Source organism: Homo sapiens, chromosome 5 (genome assembly GCF_000001405.40).
Source record: "Homo sapiens chromosome 5, GRCh38.p14 Primary Assembly".
NCBI classification, from domain to species: Eukaryota; Metazoa; Chordata; class Mammalia; order Primates; family Hominidae; genus Homo; species Homo sapiens.
The window spans coordinates 102,867,605-102,895,030 of NC_000005.10; the positions used below are offsets into that span (position 1 = coordinate 102,867,605).

General features: G+C 35.6%; 1 protein-coding gene across 55 annotated transcripts in view; it reads left to right on the top strand.

The window, feature by feature from the left end:
• Window positions 1-27,426, top strand: part of PAM (peptidylglycine alpha-amidating monooxygenase) — a 276,323-nt gene that overhangs the window by 112,822 nt on the left and 136,075 nt on the right. The gene's annotated exons all lie outside the window — the stretch shown is intronic.

Sequence of the window (27,426 nt, forward strand, 5' to 3'; positions counted from 1 at the left end):
TATATTATCATTTGTGGTTTGAAATGGAATGTCGAAAATTTACATTTTGAGATTCTCTGTGGAGTAATAGCCTCTGTAATGCAGCATGCAAGTACGCATTAAAATATGAAAAATTATTCTAATAAAGGAAAATGATATTGAGCAGCTGCATTTAAGCTAGTTTGTTTAAATATCCTTTTATTGCAACCACAAGTCAAGAAATAAAAACGTGTTTACTGCTAAGAATTTGAAAAACAAAACATTCCACTCTTTTAAAAGTTAAGAAAACTGTTCATACAGGTGGCTGATTGTGAGTTTTCTTTAACCTGACTTGCTCGTTGTAAGAGATGTATTTTGAAATAATGGCAAAGCTCATATAAATGTGACTTATAGAGCATTTTGTGTAGAACTAGGTTGCTGCTAGGGCTTTCCCTCTTTTAGGTACACGCAAGAAGCTCAAACCCACTGCTGTCATGTGTGCAAGGTGTTTCATTAAGCATAAAAAGGCCAGAATTAATTATGCTTTGCAGCCAGGCAGTGCAGGGATTTATGTGTGTCATTAAAAGATAGTCCTCTCCTTTTGAAGGGCTGCAGAGACAGGGAAAGACCTGGATATTGTAGAGCTGCAGTGGCTGATGACTCATTGTTGCAGATAACATTCTATTTTTCTTTTCTTTTTTATTTTATTTTCAGTACTAGGAAAATAAAGTATTCGTATTCTACTTATTAGGCAGAATTCCCTTTGCAATTGACATCCAGAAGCTTTAGAGAATACACATGGGCCTTTTTTTGGGACTAAGAATTGGCATTCATTTATTTGAAGACCTGTGTATGATTGTCTATAACTAACTACCACTGTAAAAATGACTTTCACTTCCTCCTCATCCCCAAATGACCATGCAGATGACTTTCCATGCATTCAGTTGTTACTGTGCTAGCTTTTAATTTCATAAGCTTTTTATTTAGTATTTAACCGCAAAAAGTGTAATGAGATTGAGACTAGGAGAGAAGAACAACAGTTGCTCACTTATGAAGTGTGCCTCTTTTCTCACTTTTAAAACTGGGTTTCCCCCCTGTATTTGCTTGAACTGAATGTATTTTTTTTAAAATATCCACTAATTGGGTTTTCAAGCACTCTTTCCCCACAAGAATATCATTATTTTATCAAATAGTCTTTTGTTTGGTTCATTATTATTGTTATTCTTTCTTCTCATTATTTAAGAGTAATAACATTTAAATTACTTAACAATAATAATGGGCAACTGTGATGGGGTCAGTAATCTCAGAAAGAGATCTTAGAGGAATTGATTATAAAAAGTCATGGAGGAGCTCCATTTTCATAAAGTAAAATGTGTTCATTTTTATAATCCTATAATTATCAAAATAACTCCATGGGGAAAGAACATACATTGTTTAAATAATTGCTTTTTATTTTGCACTATCTGTATTCACCTTGGCCTCATGCAGTGCATATTTGCTGGTTGCCTTTCCAGCAAATAGCTGGTTGCCTCCTTGCTCCTTCTCTGAGACTATGTGATTCCCAAGAGCTTCCTACCCAGACTCCAGAGATGGAACACATGGACCGTGATTGATAATTGACTGTATCCCGCCTCCCTTTCCGCAATGATTGGTTCAAAAGAAAGTGTGTGATTTAGACCATTCAAATCTTAGGACTTTTGCTGAGAATGTATTTTTCTGTTGCATGTGAGCAGTAGGCTTGTCTTGCTAGGGTCTGCTGAATTCATGAGGGAGCCATGCCTATAATAAAACTAACACCATAGAGGGCAATGCAGAGAGATTGAAAGAATGTAGTGCTTGGTGACGTCACTACTTATGCAGTGTTCAGTTATGTTAGCCTTTCTGGTTTGAATAAAGTTGAGTTGGGTTTTGTCTTACTTGCAACTGAAACTACTGGGTAAATGATTCAGTTGCTCTGCCTGACAGCTCAGAACTGCTTGTTGAATATTTCTTCCATTTTTTTCCCATCACTCTCTGTTGACCATGTGCCATGAGTATGTAACTTGGTTCAGCTGACATACAGATCTTATACTTTGTAAACTTTTATGAGAAATGGTAGACTATCCATTGAATATGCCCAGGAAGAGGTGGATACAGAACCTTCAGAACCTCTTTCCTTCTGAATTTGGTGTTCTAGTGAGGAAGACCAAGAGCTCTGATGCCGTAAGTACTTTTGAAGAAAGTATTATTTTCTTAAAATGAAGATAAAACCAAAGTTTTACACAAGTCCTTAAGAGGAAAGGAGGTGAAAAAAAGCAAGACAGAATAATGAAAACGTATTAGAGGGAAGAAACAAAAGGTAGAAGGGAAATAAGAAGAGTTGACCGAAAAACAAAATGAAAAAAAGGTCCAAGAAAATGGAATGATCAAGAACAAAAATAAAAGGAAAAAAATCAGGAATAACTAGACTATGAAGAAAGAACATCTAAAAATCATAAAAGAATAGAGGTTGAAGGAAAATGTAAAAACAAGGAAAGACATTGAGTTAAATGGCAGAGGATTTTTTTTTTTTTGATCGCAGACAATCAAGAAGAGCAACAAAATTTAAAGAAGGAACAGAGAAGAACTTGAGTTGGGAATTGAGAGACATCATGTTGATTAAAGAAATGTATTCATTCCACAAGATTTTTTTAAAATAAAGTACATCTTAAGTTTTGGCAATAATGAAAGCTATATCAATACATCTTATGTGTATCCTTTCTTTGGAAAACTTGAGATTGTTAGGTAGGCTTAGATAGAGAAACAAGCAGATGTAGAACAGAGGTGGAAAGAACCTTAGACATAATACAGATAGTGCAACTAACTAATTTTACAGATGGAATACAAGCCTAGATTAGTGTCTTATCAAGGATATCCAGTCATGTCAGGCCTCTGAGTTGCCATTCTGCCATACCACAGGACTTTAAAGTGGCAATTAAAAATTTCTCCCATTAAACTAGATCCAGTGAGTCTGGGAAAAGTGGTTTATTATCTGTTGCAATATCAATTTTATAATCAAAGTAAGCTTATTCTGTCTCTTCTCTGACTTAAAAAATTTGAAAATAGTTTCCATCCTTTTTTAGAAATGGATAATCAGTGTTTAATCTCTGTTAATAGGTGTTTTTCCAGCCTTTGGGAAGATTAGAGAGAAGAGTAGGCAGGTTTTAAATAGCCTATCATAGAGATAAAGTCAGGATCTGGTGTTCCATGGCACTGGCTTCAAATCCAGCAGAGCCATGAAGTGGTGATATCTTGAGACTCCTCTTTTAGCACTGTTTCTTTCTTATTTGATTCCCTTTCTCACCCAGGACCCACTGGACTTTTGCTGTCACCAACTCTCATATCAAAAAACAAAAGAATTTGATAAACTGCCAGTTCATGGTCATAGTATGGTGATATCAATTTGACATGTTAACTATCCCTTTGGTGTTGGATTTCAAAATAAATAAAGGTATAATTACAATGGTTTTCCATAATGTTTATTGCCTAAATCTAACTCAAATCCAGGGGTTAAACAGATGCATTGGGGCTGGGCTGACAGCATCTGGCCTCAGCTCTTGCAGTCTCAACTCAAATTTGTTTCTTAACTGGCTAGTCCTGTTCCTTCTTCTGTAGAAAGGATAATAATAGTTTATTATCCCACACTACCAAGGTTGTTCTGAAGACTGAGTGACATAATGTTCAGTTGCCTTGCACATGATAAGAACTCAGAAAATGTATACTAATATTATTATTACTTGTGTTCAGGGAAATGTGAATGCACCTTGACACTAGAAAGAAATTGCTAACCCTTAGGCTTTCAGCAATGGCTTCATGGAGAAGCTAAGACATTGCAATAATTGTGAAGGAGATGAAAGTGAACCAAATGAAGAAAATAGAAAGTACAAACCTAGGCAAGAGAAACCTGGATAAAGTACTCAAAGAAGTAAATCTTTCAGTGTCCTTAAGTATTCATAAGTAGTTGTTTTCATTAAAAATGGACCTATCATAAGAGAATAAAAGGAACACTGAGAATAGATATGCTTTTCTCAGAAATTCTTATACATCTTTATATTGCTTGGAGGAGAAGTTATTAAAAGAACTCTCATCGGTTTGAAACCTTTTATTTTATATATATATAAAATATATATATTATATATAATACATTTATATATATTATATATATATATGTATATTTGAAATAAGCCTTGATTTTTTTTCAGTGTCTACTTTCCTAAGGACTTTATACATTGACCTTATTTAAAAAACACTTTTATCTAATGTAAGTACTTTCAAATCCTAGGTTTATGTAGCATTCTATTTATTTGCTATTTGCTCAACTTAGGTCCTCTGTGTTCTTAGCTTAAGAACTTACAAGTGCAAACAAATTTGCAAAAACTAAATGATTTTACCAAATTAAATATCTTCCTTGAGCCTAATTTCTTAAAGCCTTATATTAATTGAATTTCTTTCAATGAAGATGTTTTAGGCTGTCATTAGTGTAATCATTTTCCTCCCTTATTTTGGCAGTGATGATTTGAGAACTGTGAAGAAATACATCTTACCCTTTCTGAACCTCTTGCAAATTCTTGTCTCATTCAGCATTTGTCTTTTAAAGGACTCTTCAGATCATGCATTGAAATCAGAAAGCAGCCTATCCCTGTGTATCTAAGCACATATATCTATTGCCAGGAATCAGAACAATTCTGAGTTTAAGAATCACAGCAGATACCCCAGAGCAACAGGTTGAAAAACCTGAAATTAGAATCTTAAGTTATTACTTATTTTAAAATATTGATGAAAGAATGTTGTCGTTGAAATGAAACCAGAATGAACAAAATACTCCTACAAAATGTTCTCAAAATCTTCCCACTGTGTTTCACTTTGCTGTTTTCTCAAATTAACAGTCATTAGAAAACGTTAAGTAACGTACTTTAACTTCTTCATTTTCTAACATGAGGAAGAGATTCCCTTGCCTCCACAATACATGTATAATCTGTAAAAAGAACCCAGCTTTCATGGGCTTTTCTTTCTGCACTCCTGTAAGGAATCAGTTTTAAAATATCAAACCATAATCATAACATCATTTATAAGTGGCAGTTGCTCAGAATATCTGTTTTATCAGAGGTAATATACAAGTTAAATGCAGAATTGTTTTTATTAAATTCAGAATGCCAATTAAATTAGACTTTGTATGTATGTTACTTAGTTGTTCAGAAGCTTGGCTTTTGTCTAGTTTTCAGGCTACAATAACGTTAGGTCTATATATTTTTTAATTCCATCATTGTGTAAAAAAGATGTACGTATCCTCAGTCAGTGCTAAAAACTCAGAGTAAAATTAGCAACGGGGCCTACTTGAGGGTGGAGGGTGGACGGAGGGAAAGGATTTAAAAACTACCTACAGCCTACTATGCTTTTACCTGGGTGAGGGAATAATCTGTACACCAAACCCCCATGACATACAATTTACCTGTATAGCAAACCTACATATGTACTCCTGAACCTAAAATAAAAGTTACAAAAAAAAAATTAGCAAGGACTCCAGAAAAAAATGATACTTTACTGGAATAAGTTTTTAGTACTTTAGGGGTTGTGATTTCCTTATCTTTTCTCTAGTTGTTAGTATATAATATTTGTATTCTTTTGAAATTAAAATTTCAGTCTTTCTCTTGGACATAAGAATAAAAGGAAGGGAGACACCCCACACCACCATTTTTCTGTTTCCCCTCATAGGCTAGCTTGACTTTGAGTTTAAACCTCACTGCAGAAGGGGAGAAAACCAACAGCCTTTTGGGCACCAGCTGGTGGGATATCTATTATACTCTTTTTGAGAAAATGGATCCAAGCTCTTCGCGAAGCAGCTGTGCGATTGCTGGGAAGTGCCTAAAGAAGATCCCCATCCAACTCCAGGAGCCCCATGGATTTCCTTATCACCTCTGTGTGGTCAGCAGCCATGGTCCAGCCTACCTTCCCTAGTGCTGTGATCTGTCCACCACTACAGGCCCGACCCTCGTCTAATTGAATCTGTACAGCAGAATAGACATAGCAAATGAGGGTTACTTCTTGAGTCAAATACATTTGATTGGGAAGAGCTGCCTGGAAAGTGTTAAGAATTATGAGACCACATTGGGACTTGATGGGAAACGGTGCAGCGACCCATAAACAACATCTGCCACGAATGTGAAAGATAAAAGTCGCTCCAGTGGCCAGCCTCTAGAAAGAAGAATCCTGGGTGAAGATTGATTGCATTGTCATTGTCTTAAAATGAATATGAGTCGTGGCTTTTAGTGTTTCGTTTTCTTCTATTTTTTTTCTCCTTTCAGAGAAAATAAAACTAGCATGGTGATCTTCCTATTGAAGGAGGCATATTGAGAAACATCCTAATTCTAGACTAGCATTTACTTTTTATTTAGAAAGACTTATGCAATGTGTATAAAATTACAAGATTTGTGAAGAGAGCAACAAAATAAAATGCTGTATCTCCTCCCTCCCCAAATTGAGAAACTAATATTATCTTCATTTTACCAATGGGAAAGCTAATAGCAAAGAAAATAGCATCGTTATTAGAAAGGATGGCCACCAAGCCCTTTTTTTGTTTATTTAGCTGTGACACATTCATTCTTTTTTCCCTTTCTATTTTGAGAGCTCAGGATTGATGTCATTTAAAACAATACATGTCAAAATCTCAGATTAGATCTATTTGTATATTTACTCTGCTTTGTCGGCAAGTGTCAAGTATATGAATTAAGTAGATTACAAAAATGTTAAATGGCTTTTGTAAACGACAAATTAAAGTCACTTGTCATCCACTGTCAATTGTTTAAGTTTAAATTATGATACTTCCTCTTTATTTTTACTGAAACTTATTTAACGTTCTCTTAGGGAAGATACGATTGAACTATTAACAATGTTTTTTTTTAATAATAGAAACATGCTACATATCTGGGTTCAGAACTGCAAGTATGAGTATACATTGACCATTTTTTCCTTTCTTTATAAAAAATGAGAAACAGATTTTTTATTTCTTATAAAAAATAAGAAATTGAAAATTATTTTCAATCAATTTTGAGTATGTTTGAATTAACATGATGCTTGAGAATATTTTAAAATTAGCTACAGTGTAAAAGACTCCTTATGATCACCTATTTTCTCAATAAGGTTCAGAGTCCTTTTGCTTTTTATTTTTTTTCCTAGTAAATATTTTAAAGGAGAAAACATACTTAGTGAGTATTCATTATGTAACACTACTATATTGGGCACTTTACGTACATTGTCTCATTAATTCCCATAAAAAGTCTGTGTTCAAGGCATTATTATCCCCACTTTTTATATTAAAAGTTGAAACTAAAAGAGATTAATAACGTGTTCATAGCAAATAGCCGGTAAATAGGAGAACAAGGATTTAAATACAGATTTACTTGAATCTGAAACCCATGGTTCATTTTGTAATTCTGTGCTGCCAATCTGTTAATGATCTGTCTCCCACAGAATTTTAGTATATGTGTTTTTATGTGTGCAGGTGTGTGTCTATACACACACACATATATTTTTATTCTACATATATTGTAGAATATAAGCTCTCTTTTATTAAACAAAATATATGTTACTGGCTTCATCCTAAATTATTATCATTATTATTATTATTATTATTTGAGGTAGGATCTCACTGTGTCACCCAGGCTGAATGCAGTGGTACAGTCAAAGCTCACTGCTACCTCAACCTCCTGGGCTCAAAGGATCCTCCCATCTCAGCCTCCTGAGTAGCTGGAACTACAGGCACACACCACCATACCCGGCTTAATTTTTTTATTTCTTTTAGAGATGAGGTTTTGCTGTGTTTCCCAGGCTGGTATCAAACTCCTGAGCTCAAGTGATCATCCTGCCTCGGTCTCCCAAAGTGCTGGGATTACAGGTGTGGGCCACTGTGCCCAGCCCATCCTAAATCCTTGAATAACTTTTTCTTATATCTTCTAATGCATATGTAGAAAGACATGCTACTAATCTGAATTCTGGCAAGATATTCTTGGTCACTTGGCTGTTAAAAGATGCTTTGCAATGAAGAATTTTTTTTGTTGTTATTCTTGTCTAAATCTAAACTAGAGGTCAGCAAATTCTTTCTTAAAGAAGTGTCATATAATAAATATTTTTGACTTGTGAGCCATATAGGTTCTGTTTTGACTGTTGTAGTTAGAAAGCAGCTATAGATACTATGTAAATGAATGGCTTGGCTTTGTCTCAATGGAAAACTGTGTTTACTAGAAGAGGCAGCCAGCCCACAGGCTGAAGTTTCCCAGTCGCTGATAGAAACAATTGAATATGCCATTTAGGCTAATAAATGGATTTAACCTTTGGCATCTCATGAACAATGTCTTCTGACTTACAGAACAGAAAGAATAAAAATACCAATGCAAGGTTAACAGTGCTTTGATCTTTGTTCCTTAGTTACCTATTCAGTTTTCATGAGTAAATGATTATAAACAAGAGTTCTCTTATTTGGAATATCGTATTTCAGAGCTCTCCACCTCACTAGATGGCAATTCCCGTGGTATAATTTCTCTCGGCCAAATACACTAGAGTCTTTATTTATGGTTCTTTTCTCCCTCAGAGCCTGTAAACAATATGCTAGTAAATTCTTTTCATCCTGTCTTCCAAATATCTTCCAAATTCCAGCCTTTTCTCACAACAGCCATCTTTTCAACTCTGGCCCAAGCACCATCCTCTCTTTCCTGGATTATTATAATATCCCTCCTAACTGACCTACCTTGTACCCGTGTACCCCTGCAATCTGTGCTCCACTCAGCAGCCACAAAGATTCTATTAAAACAGAAGTCAGAGCACATTGCTCTTCTACTAATACCATTGAAGAGTTTCCTGCACCACTCACATTTAAAGCCCGAGACTATATAGCTCCTTCCAAAGCCCTGCATCTTTCCTGGCCTCCTTTCCCACTTTTGTGTCTCTCATCCCTCATTTCTGTGTTATAAATAGTGTCATAGATAAACAAAGCTGGACACTCCTAAAGTGGTAGGGACAGATTTTAATCAACAATGGATTTTACAGAAGTAACTGGGCATTTTAAAGGGAGAATTAGGGAGTAGGAAAAAGTAGTATGTGGGGGCTCAGTAGAGTCAGGGAAGTAAAACATTACAAAAGGTTAGTTGGCGTAAACCCGATGGGGCCAGCTGTGTTTGCTAGCTGGAAATTACTGAAGCTATGATTCCATCCCGTCACAGAGACTGGAAGGCAAAGGCTCTATTCTCAGGTATTGGCTAGAGCAAACAGTAGATTTTTTTGGCAGCCTTGAGTCTTGTCTTCTCAAGCAAGCACTTTAAGCGGAGCTAGAGTCATCTTAGGGATATGGCATTGAGCTGTTAGAAACTGTTAGTGTTTGTTCAAGTCTTTGTAAGCCAAGGTGAAGGCCTAGTCAAGAAGAGGGCTTGGAGGAGCCTGGCTATGGTTTAGTCAAGGAGATAATATTTATCAGTCATTATAGATACAAAACAAATCAGAACTCTGTCCCACCACTTGCTGGCTGCAAGACCTTAGGCAAGATACTTAAACTATAACTTTAGTTTTCTCATCTGTAAAATTGGGATAATAATAGTTCCTATCTGATAGGATTGCAGTTAAGTAAATTAATATGTGTAAAACACAGTAAATGCTCAGTAAATTTAGTTATTAACATTTCTGCCCTGAACTGCATTACAATGGATTAGTTAAGAAATGTTAGCAAGTAGCTAATGCAAGGCCCTATATGATAAATACATTAGAATACTTGAAATAAAGAATTACAGAGGATCAACCTGGGAATAAAGAGAGTAATTGCAACAATATTTTAGTCAGGACTGCAATCATAATTTTCTAGAGCACATTATGGAAACAGGTTAGAATCTACATTTCTCTCTTGCTTTATTTAGAAAATATTTATGGAGGCAGCAGGATTTGAAGAATGTAGTTCAAGAGGTAGGGAGAGAGACTTGGAAACAAAAGTTTAGAATTCCTGTAAAGCTACCATTCTAGAAATACGGCTGTAAACAGATGAAGTATTCAGAACCTCAACTTTTATAATTTTGTCTTTAAAAGAAACTAGTAATTATTAAAGGTACAATTTGCTAAGAGAGAAAAATTTATACACTATAGTCATAAGATACCATCACTGTCAAACATTTAAAATAAAAATTCAAATTGGGCTGCATGCAGTGGCTCACACCTGTAATCAACACTTTGGGAGACTGAGGCAGGAGGATTGCATGAGGCCAGGAGTTTGAGACCAGCCTGGGCAACATGGAGAGATCCCCATCTCTACAAAAATTTAAAACAATTAGCTGGGCGTGGTGGTGTGTGTCTGTAGTCCTAGCTACTCAGGAGGCTGTGACAGGAGGCTCTTGAGCCCAGGGAGTTGAAGCTGCAGTGAACTATGATTGTCACACTGCATTCCAGCCTATATGACAGAGTGAGACCCTTTCTCAAAAAAAAAGAAAAAAAATTCAGTGAAGTTGGTTAAAATCTCTATATATAATTATAAAGGAATAATCCCTCTATAATTATTAATACATAAATATCCCTCTGTAAGATATTTGGTGTATCAAATAGATCTCAAAAGGCAAATATATAATATTTGAATATTTCAGTCAATAGAATAATTTTATATATACAGTCATGTTCTTCATAATGATGTTTCAATCAAAGGGACTGAAGATTATAATGGAGCTGAAAAAGTCCTATCACCTAGTGATGTAGCTTTCATAACTTCATCAGGAACATTTTTGTGGTGATGCTGCTGTTAACAAACTTGCTGTACTGCCAGTTATGTAACAGTATAGCACATACAATTCTGTATAGTACATAATACTTGATAATGAACGACTATGTTACTGGCTTATGTATTTACTATACTATACTTTTTATCATTATTTAGAGTGTACTACTTCTACTTCTTAAAAAAAAAATAAAGGTTTATTTTAAAAGAGCCTCCAGCAGGTCCTTCAGGAGGTATTTGAGAAGAAGGCATTGTTGTAGGAGGTGACAGCTCCATGCATGTTATTGCCCCTGAACACCTTCCAGGAGGACAGGATGTGGAGGTGGAAGATAGTGCTATTAAATAATCTTGACCTGTGCAGGCCTAGGCTAAAGTGTGTGTTTGTGTCTTAGTTTTTAACAAAAATGTTTAAAGTAAAAAAAAAAATTAATAGAAAAATGCTTATAGAATAAAGACATAAAGAAAATATCTTTATACACTATGTAATGTTTGTTTTTAAGCTAAATTTTATTATATGAGTCAAAAAGTTTAAAAATTAATAAGTTTATAAAGTAAAAAGTTATAGTAAGCTAAGGTTGATTTATTATTGAAGAAAGAAAAATTCTTTTTTTTTTTGTTTTTTGTTTTTGAGACGGAGTCTCGCTCTGTCGCCCAGGCTGGAGTGCAGTGGCAAGATCTACGTTCACTGCAAGCTCCTCCTCCCAGGTTCACGCCATTCTCCTGCCTCAGCCTCCCGAGTAGCTGGGACTACAGGCGCCTGCCACCACACCCAGCTAATTTTTTGTATTTTTTTAGTAGAGACGGGGTTTCACCATGTTAGCCAGGATGGTCTCGATCTCCTGACCTCGTGATCTGCCCGCTTCGGCCTCCCAGAGTGCTGGGAGATTACAGGCGTGAGCCACCACACCCAACCAGAAAAATGCTTAAATAAATGTGTTGTGGCCTAATGTACAGTGTTTATAAAGTCTACAGTAGTGTACAGTAATGTCCTAGGCCTTCACATTCACTCACCTACACACCCAGAGAAACTTCCAGTCCTTCAAGCTGCATTCATAGTAAGTACCTGAAATGGTTTGGATTTGTGTCCCTGCCTAAGTCTCATGTCAAATTGTAATCCCCAATGTTGGAGGAGGGGCCTGGTGGGAGGTGATTGGATATGGGGTCATGGGGGCAGATTTCCCCCTTGTTGTTCCAGTGACAGTAAGTGGGTTCTCATGAAATTTAGTTGTTTAAAAGTGTGTAGTACCTCCCCCTTTGCTGTATTCTCCTTCTCTGGCCATGTAAGACGTGCCTACTCCCCTTTTGCCATCTGCCATGATTGTTTCCTGAGGTCTCCCCAGCCATGCTTCCTGTGCAGCCTGTAGAACTGTAAGCCAATTAAACCTCTTTTCTTTATAAATTACCTAGTCTCAGGTAGTTCTTTATTAGCAATGCGAGAATGGTGTAATACAGTATCCTATATATACAAATACCATTGTGTTACAATTGCTTCCGATATTTAGTGTAGTATCATGCTGTACAGGCTTACAGCCTAGAAGTAATAGTCCATACCATATAACCTAGGTGTGTAGTAGATTATATCATCTAGGTTTGTGTAAGTACACTCTGATGTTTGCACAATGACAGTACTGCCTGACACATTTCTCAGAACATATCCCCATTGTTAAGTGGCCTATGACTGGCTGGGTGCCGTGGCTCACGTCTGTAGTCCCAGCACCTTTGGAAGCCAAGGAAGGTGGATCACTTGAGCCCATGAGTTTGAGACTAGCCTGGGCAACGTAACGAAATTTCATCTCTACAAAAAATAAAAAAATTAGCTGGGCATGGTGGTGTATGCCTGCTTTCCCAGCTACTTGGGAGGCTCAGGTGGGAGGATCCCTTAAGCCTGGGAGATGGAGGTTGCAGTGAGCTAAGAGTGTGCTGCTGCACTCCAGCCTGGGCAACTGAGTGAGAATCTGTCTCAAGGAAAAAAAAAAAGTGACATATGACTGCATTTAACACATAGTAAATATAATCTAACATATAAATGTAGATAAAATTTATATTTGGGGAAGAGAATATAAATTCTTTCCCAATACATAGAGAATATTTATAAAAATTACATAGCAGGATATTAACAAATTTTAGTTGACTATAATAATTAGAATTTTTAAACTCATGTCCACTCATAATTCAATAAAACTAGAAATAGACCAAGAAATGATGTCATGGAAGACTTAGCTACTTAGAAATTAAGGACCATTTTTTCTGCACAATCCCTGGAACAAGGAGAAGATCAAACCTGAAGTTTTAAATGGTCTAGAGAGTAATGACTCTTTAGTAGTATCCAGTAAGGAAAATCCTGGATAATAAAACCCATGAGACCCTAATGAAGTACTCAGAGAAAAATTAATAGCCTTAAAATGAAAAATAGAATGAAAATACAAATACAAAGTCAACTTAAGAAATGAAGATAAATATTAAAATCAATAAAAAGAAATGAAGTGATACAAGCTAAAAATAATAAATAGGTTTAAAAATGGAAAACATCAACAAAATAAATTATTTCTTTGAAATGTCCTTTAAAATAAACTCATGGCAAGCCAAGCATTTCTTAAATGCCAAAAATTATGCATTATTAAAAGTTAGAAAAGATAAAAGGAATTTTTAGACACTGTTATGTGCAACTGTGTGTCAGTATATTTTATAATCTTGAGGAAATGGATGGTTTTCTAGAAAAATAACTGAAATTTATATAAGAAGATATTTAAAAACTTAACAGACCACTAACTGTAGAAGAGACTGGAAAATTAAAAAATAATTTTTATACATACACACACACACACACACACACACACAGAGACTTCTAAAGATGAGAATTATTTAACCAAAAACACTGAGAAAAACACGCATATGGCAGAAAAAGAGTTAAAATACTATGTATATAAAGAGTTCCTATAGATTTTGAAGAAGACAAGCAGCCCAAAAGAAAAGTAAATTAGGAATATTAATGTAACAGAATGACAAAAATTCGTTCATGTTAATAATCAGATAAATTAAGGGAAAAAAGTTACTATTTTTTTTTACCCATTAATTTTGCAAAAATTCAAAAGAGCTATGATATACAGAGCTTTTAAGGATGGGAATACATGGGACAGTTTCATACATTGCTGGTGGGAGGGTGCACTGCTACAAGCTTTTTAGGAAAGTAGAGTTATCTTCTAAAGTAAAACTACTCATATCCTTAAAATTTTGGGAGATCATTCTATGGAATTTTATGCAATAAATGAAAGTCTGAGTTAGAACTACATCTTTTGCCCTAGAAATATTGCCATTATATATTAAGTGAGAAAAACAAACCACAGAGTCATGTGCAAAAGTGTGATCCTATCTTTTTTTTTTTTTCAATAGGTTTTGGGGGAACATGTGGTGTTTCTTTGGTTACGTGAATAAGTTTTTTAGTGGTGATTTCTGAGACTTACCTGCATCTATCACCTGACCAGTGTACACTGTACCCAGTGTGTAGTCTTTTATCCCTCATCTCCTTCCCACCTTTTCTCCCAAAGTCCATTGTATCATTCTTATGCCTTTGCATCCTCATAGCTTAACTCCCAACTTATGAGTGAGAACATATGATGTTTGGTTTTCCATTCCTTAGTTACTTCACTTGGAATAAAGGTCTCCAGTTCCATCCAGGTTGCTGTGAATGCCATTATTTCATTCCTTTTTGTGGCTGAGTAGTATTCCATCGTGGAATATATATATATATATATATATATATATATATATATATATATATATATATATATATATACACCACATTTTCTTTATCCACTCATTGTTGGATGGGCATTTGGGCTGGTTCCATATTTTTGCAATTGCGAAGTGTTCAAGTATCTTTTTTTGTATAATGACTTCTTTTTCTCTGGGTAGCTACCCAGTAGTGGGATTGCTGGATCAAATGGTAGTTCTACTTTTAGTTCTTTAAGGAATCTACACACTGTTTTCCATAGTGGTTGTACTAGTTTACATTCCTACCAAGCAGTGTAAAAGTTTTCCCTTTTTTACCACATCCACACCAACATCTATTATTTTATAGATTTTTTTTATTGTGGCCATTCTTGCAGGAGTAAGGTGGTATCACATTGTGATATTGATTTGCATTTCCATGATTATTAGGGATGTTGAGCATTTTTTCATGTTTCTTGTCCATTTGTATATATTCTTTTGAGAATTGTCTATTCATGTCCTTAGCCACTTTTTGATGGGACTTTTTGTTTCTTTCTGATTTGTTTGAGTTCCTTGTAGATTCTGGAAATTAGTCCTTTGTCAAATGTATAGATTGTGAAGATTTTCTCCCACCCTGTGGGTTGTCTGTTTACTATGCTGATTACTTCTTTTGCTGTGCAGAAGCCTTTTAGTTTAATTAAGTCCCACCTATTTATCTTTGTTTTTGTTGCAGTTGCTTTTGGGTTCTTAGTCATAAAGTCTTTGCCTAAGCCAGTGTCTAGAAGGGTTTTTTCAATGTTATCTTCTAGAATTTTTATGGTTTCAGGTCTTAGATATAAGTCTTTGATCCATCTTGAGTTGATTTTTGTATAGGGTGAGAGATGAGGATCCAGTTTTGATCTTCTACATGTAGCTTGCTAATTATCCCAGCACCATTTGTTAAATAGGGTCCTTTCCCCACTTTATGTTTTTTTTTGCTTTGTCGAAGATCAGTTGACTATAAGTATTTGGGTTTATTTCTGGGTTCTGTATTTTGTTCCATTGGTCTATGTGCTTGTGTTTATAGTGGTACCATGCTGTTTTGGTGAGTACGGCCTCATAGTATAGTTTGAAGTCAGGTAATGTAATGTCTCCAGATTTGTTCTTTTTGCATGGTCTTGTTTTGGCTATGTGGGTTCTTTTTTGGTTCCATATGAGTTTTAGGATTGTTTTTTTCTAGATCTGTGAGCAATGATAGTGGTATTTTGATGGGAATTGCATTGAATTTGTAAATTGGCAGTATGGTCATTTTCACAATGTTGATTCTACCCATCCATGAGCATGGGCTGTGTTTCCATTTGTTTGTGTCACCTATGATTTCTTTCAGCAGTGTTTTGTAGTTTTACTTGTAGAGGTCTTTAACCTCCTTGGTTAAATATATTCCTAAGTATTTTATTTTTTTACAGCTATTGTAAAAGGGGTTGAGTCCTTGATTTGATTCTCAGCTTGATCACTGTTGATGTATAGCAGAGCTACTGATTTGTGTACATTAATTTTGTATCCTGAAACTTTGCTGAATTCATTTACCAGGTCTAGGAACTTTTTGGATGAATCTTTAGGGTTTTCTAAGTATACGATCATTTCATCAGCAAACAGTGTCAGTTTGACTTCCTGATTAACGATGTGAATGCCCTTGATTTCTTTATTTTGTCTAATTGCTCTGATTAGGACTTCCAGCACTATGTTGAACAGAAGTGGTGAAAGTGGCCATCCTTGTTTTGTTCCAGTTCTCAAGGGTAATGTGTTCAACTTTTCCCCATTCAGTATAATGTTGGCTGTTGGTTTGTCATAAATGGCTTTTATTAATTTAAGATATGTCCCTTCTATGCCAATTATGCTGAGGGTTTTAAATATAAAGGGATGTTGGATTTTGTCAGATGCTTTTTTGTGTCTCTTGAGATGATCATGTGTTAATCTTGCCTCCTATCTGCCATTTTCCTTTTTTCTCTAAGTGTGATCCTATCTTAATAAAAATAAATAATAACAAAAATCCCAATATACATGTGTCTGTTTGGTTATATAGTTTTAAACTAGCAAGGAGTAAGTTATAAAGAGTCACATCAGCCTAAAAACACTGGTTCCCTTGGCGAGGTAGCAATGGAGGAATATAACAGAAAATTTGGGGAATATATGTTATTTTATCATTGAGAAGATCATCTATTATTTTATAGTTGTTAAAAATTAATAAAGAAAAAACAATATCACCAACAAAAAGGATACAGCTAGATATCATGTGTTTTGATATAACTCCCTACTTTTAAAAATCTCTAGAGGGATTTTCCATACAGAGCCTCTAATTGATAAATGTTTCATTCCTATTCCCCTGCTTTGCACCGGTGCTATTAAAAGAGCCTGATTAATTAAAGAATTTAAGAAATTTGGTACACATTTGGAAACAAATAGATCCAGATTTGTAGAAGGTCATTCTTCTATTATAGTCCGTCTGAAGATATTTGTGGAAGGCAACCATGCATATCTTTTCCACATTAGCAACAAAAGTGATTCTCTTTGCACTTATTAGCCACCAGAAAAATTCTCTTTGTTTCACTTATTTTCAGATTTATGTAGTCTGAATTAATATTTCAATAACCCTCTTCAAGAAAAGCATTTGGAACTATTCCACATGAATGTTGCATTCTTTAAGCAAAAGTGCAGAACATACTTTTTCAAGGCACAGATTGCTTTTCATAGATAATGTCTTCTCCTTAATCATGTATAAAGGGACGAATCTGATGTACACATTAGAGAAATGGCTCTGTCTTAGCAGGCAAAAGTCACCTCATTCAACAAAGCTCACAGCACTTTTAAAGAGGAGGGTATATAAAAATAGCAAGTACATTTCTTTGTACAATGTGTCATACTCCCACCCTCAGCGAATCCAGTATTAAATGAAAACATTTGCCATGGCAACATCGATTTACAAAGGGCAAATGATGTTTCTGAGAGATTGGAGTATTTCCTTTCATAGATTTCAGAAGCACACACAGTTAACACTTTAGCAACCTTGTTTAATAACTATATATATATATAACTATAAAAGCTTTACTTGATTATTTTTAAGTATTGGAGATAAAATCCAAAACAAAACAACAAACTCCTAACAAAAACTGCCATCAAAGTAGATTCAAGCAGGAAAAAAATATCACTAGAACATTTTAGCCTTCACTATTTATGGGAATAACAATTATTTCATGTGGTAAGCTGTGCTAAATTAAATCTGTGAATGATCATTTTGCTATGAAAATGAAAATTCTGTTTATCTTACCATTTCTACAGTTGACGTTATCAGTTATAATATTTAGCCTCCTCATTTTGGACATCTTTAAAATATTTTATCTATTTTTCATAAATGCTAAGGCAGAATTCACAGATTGCAGTTGTAGTTTCATCTATTTGACTCAGACTATGAAGGCAGACACAGTAGATGTAAGAAAGAAGATAGATTGGTAGCCTGAGTAAATGCAAGTATTGAAGAGGTGACCTTAGTGGGGTCAAACAAGTTTAGAAGTTAACAAATAGTCTCTATATTTTTTCTCAGCTTGTCATAACCACTCCATGATACAAAATGGAGAAAATTGTGGCCAGAGGTGAGGAAATTAAGTACCTGCCCTAAATAGTTTATAGTCAAGAGCAAAAAATTTGTCTTACTCATTTCTTTAACTCTGCCAGAGGTGAATACTGTTCTACTATCTAACCTTTATTTAATGGGCACAGTAAGCTGGGATCTAGAAGCTTATGGCTTCTGAGTGTAAGGGAACTTCTAGTCCTTCAGTCAATTATGGCAGGAGTCAGTTGAAATGAATAAGGTGTTTCATACAGTTACCGCCCACAGCATTCACCAGTGAAGCAAACAAAAGCCAAATCTAGCACTGTTTTAATGTTTTCAAGTCTACTGTTGTTTGAAGACTGCAGGTTCTTTGGAAGACCTTGTATCATTTATTTTCTCACTTGCCTCTTTCTTGAACATGCATTCCCCACGATTCAAAAATATCAATTGTCAAAAAGTTTATAAATGTATAAATCTGAGATAGTTTCCTTGCATTTGCAAAGCAAATCCTCCAGAAGATATTTATCATGGTTAAGAATTTATAGAGAATAGAGATTAGCAAACCTGTGATTTGCTGTCCTGTTTACATTTATTATGAAGGATAACATTAATTAAATTAAGAATGATCTCTTCATTGTGGAAGTCAGTTCCAGAAATTATTGAGAATGAGGTTTTTTTGCGAGATAAATTCAAACCTTCTAGCAAATCCCAAAGATATTATAATGTACATATGAGTATTAATAGAGTTAATTCAGGCATATATAATATTTTTATAGTAATTTTGCGGAGTATTGAAATGTTAACAAGACTGAAATGATTTTCCACCCCTTCTTTTTTTTAAATACCAGTCTGCCACAACATTTTTCCTCTTAGGCTTTTATGTTGCCATTGTTCTTTACATTCATTTTTCAGTATTTAAATATCTGTCACTGTAATGTTACAGAATACGTATTCTTTCTCTGTAAACCTACCTGACCCTCTCACAGTGATCTGATCTGAGCACCCTGTTGTATCACTCTTATAGAACCATTATATTGTCACTAATTATAGTGATTATTTTTTATGTTTTAAATATCTTGCACTAAAGGATCTCTGAAACCAATGACTGCATCTTACTCATCTTTGTGCATATTTTTGGTTAGTGTATACTCAAACTTAGCAAACATCACAGTCTGTATTTACAAGAAGCCAGCTTCTGTCTGTCCTGTGGGAAAGATATTGTTTGCACAGTATTCTGTATTGTGCCTTGCACATAGAAGGTACTCAGTGAGTATCTGTTGATTAACTGATCTCCCTTGAATCTACACCTAGTTATTTCTTCTGTTCTTCAATACAGGTAGGAAAGTAAGTTGGATGATGACCCATATAGTATCAAAAAGATTGTCTATCTTGTTAGGACTATATTCTCAGTGCCTTGCAGAGTGCCAGGTACTTAGTAGACATTAAGAAATATTTGTTAGGGATTGATATTTAATGCTTATTGCTATGGCTTGGATGTGGTTTGTCCCCACCAGAACTCATGTTGAAAGTTGATTCCCAATGTGGCACTGTTGGGAGATGGGGATGTTTGGGCCGTGGAGGCAGATCTCTCATGAATAGATTAATGCCCTCACATGGGGGTGAGTGAGAATGGATTAGTTTTCAGGAGAATGCGTTGTTCGAAATTGTGCCTCCCTTTGTTTCTCTCTCTTGCCTCCTCTCTTACCATGTGATTTTGCACAAGCTTTTTCTCCATTCTGCTTTTATTCATGAGTTGAAGCAGCCTGAGGCCCTTACCAGATGCAGCTACCGAATCTTGATCCTTCCAGCCACTAGAATCATGAGCCAACCTTTTTTCTTGGTAAACTACTCAGCCTCAGGTATTCTGTTATAGGAACACAAAATGGACTAAGACAGTTGTGTTCTTCAGTCAAAGCACAGAGCACATTAGCAAGTAAAGCTTGATTAGGCAGTTAGACTTCAAAGAAATTTATAGTGTAGTAAATATTTCATCTTCTTGGTTAACATGGTTGGAACCACATTAGACTATTTACCTCTTTAGTGGTCTAAATTCTAGGTGTATACAATTACTTTAATTTTTTTCCTTCAAAATGTCTTTCAAATTTTTCCCTTTTCCTCTCTGTTCCAGCTGCACTGGTTTCTTTGATTTCCTTGCACTTACTACATTTCCTCTCAAGTCTGTGCCCATGTTGTCTTCTTGCTAAGTTTACTCTTCCCTCCCTGTTTAACCTGGTAAATACCTTCTCATCTTTCAGATCTCAGCCTGGGCATCACTTTCTCAAAGAAGCTTTTCCTGACCACCTCCAATTCCCCCTATTCCTCCTGTTCCCCGCATCCTCCACCTTTTAGAGTGCTATGGTAGCTCTCCTAGCACCCCATGCCTCTTTTTCAGGGTAACCTTCACAAATGCAGTTTCACATTTGTTAGCATCGTTATTCAATTCATGCCTATATTTCTTCACCAGACTGCAGACTATGGAGGGCAGGAAGCACATCAGGTTTTGCTCATCATTGTATCTCATCAGTCTATTCCAGTGTATGGCAGTAGCCGACTCAATATGTATTTCAGGGATAAACAGACATACGGGGCATATGGGTGGATGAATGGACGAATTTCCACTGCTACTCTCCAATTATAGACTTAATCCAGACAGCAACACTTCCTGGTCTGTTCCAGCTCCATTGCTTCCCCCTGCCCATTGTATCCTCCTTGCACATTCTCAGTTCCACCAGTGTGTCTCCTAAAGGACTGCACCTATAATTTCATGCCCCATACCCCTCTCATTCAGCATGACTAACATCACATTTAAACAGATCTAAATTCTAATTTAAATCAAATTAATATTCTCTAAATTAGACAAAATTCTCAAATCAAATCTAAATTCTCCTTATCTCCCAAGGCCTTTTATTATCTGGTTTTATTCAGTCTACTCAATTTCCTTTCTCAGAACTCCCTAAAATGTCACCTCTGTACCTAATAGTCCAGTTACCAGACTGTCCCTGCCTCCACCACACTTACTCCCATCTCAGGGTTTGGTTCAGGCTGTATTTTCAGGTCCCCCAAGTGTCTTCCTCTTAACTTTGTTTATCTGAATTCCTCCCTTCCTGTGTGAAAACTTAATGTCTCTTTTCTGAGCCTCTCTGATGCTGAGAGAAGTCTTGGTTACCTCCTTTTGTTTCCTTTTTTTTCTTTAAAATAATGCTTTTATTTAAAATACCCTTTTTACAAATATTAAAATTTTATTGAATTAATATGCTAAAATCACATGAACACTTGGCACCATTTGAAATGTAATCCTATCCATGGAATAGAATGCAAACATTAACTAAATGTAAAAGGGGGACAGATTTAGGACTTTAAGAACATGTTTTAAAATAAAAGTTTTTAATAAATTTCAGTACTCCTTTTGTTTTTTGAGGTTTCCACTTTATAATTTTTAAAATACTAAGAACTGCCAAAGAGAAGTATAAAAACAGGGATGTATTTTATGTGCTGGATATTCTCCACTGGCCTCTCCAGATGTCCTTCCCACCCTTCTTCAGCCTGCTCCACGCTCCAGGAGGCTGACCTTTATGGACTACATTAATGGGCTCCCTTGCTCTCTGGCTTTCAGTGGCTTTAGTTTGTGGGAGGAACTGGCAGAAGACTGGGCAGCAGGAGGATAAGGAGGTCAGAGTATTTATTTCCTTGGTTCCTTTTCTGGTAGGCAGCAGGTTGGCAGTAACTGGGTTTCTCTAATGATGCCATAGCTCCTATCATCTCTCATGGTTATAACAGTTTCTGGTTTTGGTAACTCTTCCTCTTCTTGGCTCTTAGGTTTTTGGGTGGTACAGTTTGCTGCTTTATAAATCCCTGGGGTGTTTTAACATCCCTGCATGCTTCCCTTAACCTAGCCGTCTTTGTCCTTGCTTCCTTGGTTAAATTCTTCTGAATTGCCCCCTTTATTTGTGTCTTCTATTTTTTTTAATGGAACATTGATATCATTTAAATATTAACTATAGCAAATTAATGCTTTCATTATAGAAATGATACAGTGTGGTTATGGAAGGAATATCATCTTTTTTGATTCCTATCTTGTGTCTCTGACTCTGCATGATCTTGTTAGGGGAAAAAGTCTGGCCAAGTGGCCCTCCTCCTTAGCCCCCTTATTGGGCCTGTCTAGAACCAAGTCAGCGGTTTCCTTGGTCCCCTTATTGGGCCTGTCTAGGACCAAGTCAGCACTTTGGTCTCTCCCGTCTCAGAATTCCTACTACTTTTTTAGTCCTTACAACAAGGCTTAACACTTCACCATTTCCTAATGGCAGACTTTGTCTCATCCATTAGATTCTAAAGTTTCTGAGTGAAAAGAGTATTTTTATATCTATTTTTATGCCCCTGGAGCAATACATACATAGCAAAAAAGATCTTAAAGATCCTTTTCTTTCCTTTTCCTTGTAATGTATTTGTGAAGAAATCAGGGTATTTATTCGATAGAGTATCATACATTTTAGGTTTTGCTGATTGCATCACTAGAGTATCATTTAACATGTTTCTCTGTTCTTTTTCTTTTTTGTGCTGGTGCATCTAGAGGCTAGATCAGATTTAGATTAGAGTTTTTGGCAAGAATGTTTCATAGATGGTGGTATGTATTACCAGCAGAAGGTAATCTGATTGTCTCTCTTCTTGTAATGTTAATACTACCTATTAATGAGGAAATGTGAGGTTGATAATCCATTATAAAGTCTTTTGTCAGCTTATTATCTATTGCTTTTAGTTGCCATAAATGATCATCATTGCCGTGGTTAATTAGAAGTTACGTATGATAAGTATTCTTCTCATTCCTTCTGAATTTGTCAGTGGAAATACATCTATACAAGGAAACTTTCCCTCGTAAGCTATTTGATCACCTTTAAATACACTTTATGTTGCTTACATCATTTTTGTTCTATAATTGCTAGATATAAAACTTTTCTTGTAACACCTACTCATGGTCATTGGACTACAGAAATCTAATTATATATTGATGATAATTTAGAATTGTTTAATTTAATTGTACTTACCATGATGTGTGGATTTGTGCATGTGTATTTGTAAGCCTGAGAAAACATAAGAAAATAAAGCCGATTTTAAAGCATTGTAATTTTGTTGTTGAAATTAGGAATTTTCCGAGGAGGTTTAGGGAAGAATACAATGTACTAAAATGTAGTATTTATGTTTCTAATGTAAAATTAACTTATGACAGGTAAAAACATATCTGGAAAATGGGCATTTGCAGTTCCTACAGCTATTTGGTTCATATACTAATAACCCCATTAACTGTGTGACAAGTATCCACTGGGAGTTTAGAAGACAACCTTTGTAGAGTCCTTCCTTTTCTTGAATTATTAATATTATCTTTGAATGGAAGTTGCAAAATTGCAGTGGGATAAATTTAGTTTGATAGACTTAAAAAGCATAAATAAAATGCTTAAAGGAAAAAATGACTCAATGCTCTAGAGCTGTTTTTATAGGATCAAATCCTTTATAAAAGGTTTTTAGTCATGAAACAGAACAAAATTCAACAAACTAATTCAACTAACATTCACTGCATACCCAGTTCCTATGTCAGGTAGTCTTTGGGAACACAAAGAAGAATAAATCAAGGCGTCACCCCTTAAAACACAATCCAATAGCAGGACTAGCAAAAAAGGAGTTTTGTTGTAATTGCCTAATACTGAAGTAGAAATGTTTACGACATATAAAGGAAAATCCAAGAGCAGGCCAAAGAATGTTTTTATATTTGATTTTATAGTTCCTCTTAAAAGTTCAAAGCTAAGGATGCAAATCTGTTGAAACGTTTCTTTTATGAGTTAGAAGTTTAAGGGAAATGAATAGGTCACAGAATCACTGTGAGGGAGGTAGGGAGAAGCAGAATAACTTTGCCCTTGACCATTATGGTTAAATATATGACTCCATCACTAAACATAAGTACCCCATGTCTGTTTCACCTCTCCTTTGAAAGGAAAAAAGTATAATTTTTCAGAAGGCACAGTTTCTTCATATTAACTTAGAATTGAATTGGCTTTCCATCTCTTATTTCTGTCAACATTATCAGGCTTGCTAAACTGGGAATGGGCATTTTATCATTCTGTCTTCTTATATCTTAGTAGCTAGTTAAGAGACTCAGTGGAAACTGCCTAGATGAGTATATTTAATTGATGATAGATGAAAAGACAAGGATTTCAAAAATTCTGAACAGGTCAATACATTGAAATGGGCCTGGTTACCTGAAAATTATCTACTGATGAATAAACTTAGAATGCTGTCAGGACCTATTGTTTGCCTACTTTTCAGACATCTCCTGTTCTTTCTTGCCTAAGAGAAATTCCCTTTTGTTCCAGCATTGGCCTTCCCTTTCCTGATTAGACTAAGCCAATTCTGGTCATTCCTTTTCTCTTCCTAATGATTGCTTTAGAGATGGGCATGTGGTATAATTCTGGCCATTTAGATGTGAGGTGAAGTCTTTTGGAGCTGAAGTGCTTCTGGGAAAGTGTCATTCTTGAAAAGGACCTTAAGGAAGAGACTTTCCCTCCCCTAGCCTTTGGAAATTGCATTGGGCATTGTGACAACGACATACTGAAGCTACTGCAACCATCTTGTGATCATGAAGGGAGGCAAATCCATGAAATAAAGGCAACATGCTGAATATGACAAAGCTGAAAGATGGAAAGAACCTGATTACTTGATGACGTTGTTTAGTTGCTGGATGAAATAATCATTCTTGCATTTGTTCTACTTCTGGACTTCTCATTATGTGAGAGACTACATCTCTGTTGGTTTAAGTCATTTTAAGTTGGTCTTCTGCAATTTGCAGCCAAATGCATTCTTAGTGATAGTAAACATTTTCTTAGACCTCTTACATGTGACTGAGATGCCATGTGTTTAATTTAGTATTATCTTTGTGATATGTCCCGATGACTGTATGCACAATAATCCCAATAAAGAAAAGAGCTATTTCTGATAAACACTTTCATAGCCATAACAGTGCATTGCCATTTTGCTTTTTAAAAATCATTGTACCAATTTTAAGTGTCACCAGCAATGAAATAAAAATTTAAGCATCTTTCAAGTTGAAAATTCTGCTAATAGTTGCCATGAGTACATACATTTATTTGAGTTTTACAAGATTATTTGCATATTTTACATACTGTCTTTAACAGGAACCATTTCAGGCAATGTTATATGGTGCTGATACCAGTTATCAATGCGTAACAAATAGTAAAAGTGCAAATAATACATGAATACATTAATTTTCAAATTGTCGTTTGTTATATATGTAGCAGAGTCTCACAGTTTATAGACTATTCTTCAAGTAGGCAAAGAAAATAAATATTTTACTTTAAAAAATTGATCTAATTTAGCTTATTACACCTGTGACCTCTGGGTATCAAGGGAAGAAAACCTTCAAAATATCAGTTAAAGGTATCTCACTTTCTTCTGGTTCAAGACAGTCACCTCAACTTTTTAGTAAGCTATACCTCCTCTTCCCTTTTTTATTTGTCAGTACAGTATTTGGTTGATGGAAAGGGAGGTCTTACATGAATGGCCTTGGGCAGTGGAAGAGGTCTTAAATGAATGGGATTCATTGCCTCTGTTTCCTTAATTGGTGTCAATTTCAATAACTGTGATTATGAAATTAACCTCCATTTGGCCAGAGGAATTTCTTTTACTTCTTCCTTTTATTTAGAAAGGTATTCCCCTATGTCATGCTTTCTCCCTTTCCCAGCTTAGCTTTAGCCCTGCCAACCTCCTTGGAGCCATAACAGAATGCTTGCTGGGGAACCAAATATGATTTATGTGGGAGAGGAATGTGAATACATTCAAAATACTAGTATTACAAATATGTAAAACCTGAAAACCCAAAACCTTGCACAGAACTGTAACATTTATAAATATGCTGAAGTCTGTTGGGTTGTTTCTAAAAGTCATCTACTTTAACATTGTAGTTTTTATTCTTTTCTTACTCTTTCATGTGAAAAGTATCTGCTTTTGTAGTATATCACTTCACTAGTTCCCAGTGCATCATAAGAAGTTAAAATCACTGTGTGCTGAAAGGGTAAATTAGGTGTTTAGGTTCCTAAGTTTGTGTTGGTATCACTAGTCTATGGAACAGAAATAGTTTCCAGGGTTGGAAGTCAACAAGCATCCATTGAAATTCTCTACTTGGTGGCATATTCTTGCTGGAGTCTGTGTAATATCAACATTGCTTTAAATAATTTTCCTTACCTTATTTTATTTTGACTATTTGAGATTTTTAAATTAACCTATTGACTCATCCTTTTTCTTTTGTTGTCTCAAGCTCTTCGGTTTTTGTCGCTGTTTTTATTGTTTGTTTTTCCCTTGATGTTTTGTCTTTCCTGTTTCTCAATCTGCCCTAGTCCCTGTGATCATCACCAAAGGAACTGGTGGGAAAACTTTGTGGTGACTGCTATGTACCATTGCTGCAGGCATTTCTTGAATGGGGTCAGTGTAGATGACAGCACTAGAGATCCTGGGGGTAAATACCATGGACAGCGAGTGTGGCTAGAGCTTTACATAGTCTTGGGAAGAGCTTGAACTACGAGAAGAGTACCCACAGGGTCTCAGTCCTTCTAGGGGGAGCCACAGAGAAGAAGAACTGAGTTCTTTAAAATATTAATAAGTTAGGGATATTAACACAAAAGGTAGATGTCCAGATATTAATATTGTATTATAGACATGCCTATAAGAACACAGCTTACTTATGGATTTTGATTATCCACATTGTCAACTACCCTCTCCTTAAAACTTCTCTTTCTTTGTCTTCCAAGGCATGTGGCTACCCTGATTTTTCTCTGAACTCCTTGGCCGCTGTTACTTGGCCAGCCAGTTCACAGCTCTGTCACTTCTCTTTCCCTTTTTTCTGTCTACTCTCAATACGCTGCCTCCTCTACACACATTGCCCAATTACTATCCAATTTTTATGTTTCCTAAATTTACATCTTTAGGCCAAGCCTCACCTCTGAACTCCAGACCTTGACCCAACTGCCCCTTTGACATTTACAGATGGATTTTCAAAAGCTGCTCAAATTCAACATGTTCAGTGCCAAATTCATTATCTTCTTCAAACCTGGTCATCCGTGTTTTATGTCTCAGTGAATTATATCACCAATACATTCAGTTATGCAAGCCAGAAATCCAGGAGTTATTCTCAACACTGCCTCCTTACCTTCCTTTCAAATCCACTCCCCAGTCATGTCTATTTTACCTTTTAAATGTCTCTAGAATCTGCCCTCTTTTCTCCTTCTCTACTGTCATCACCTAGCTTTAAGCTACAATTTTTCTGAATAGTTACATGGCATCTTCACTAACCTCATCTGGTTAATTTCCATGTCATTTTCCTACAAAAAAAAAAAATGTCTGTGGCTTTCTGTGGCTGTCA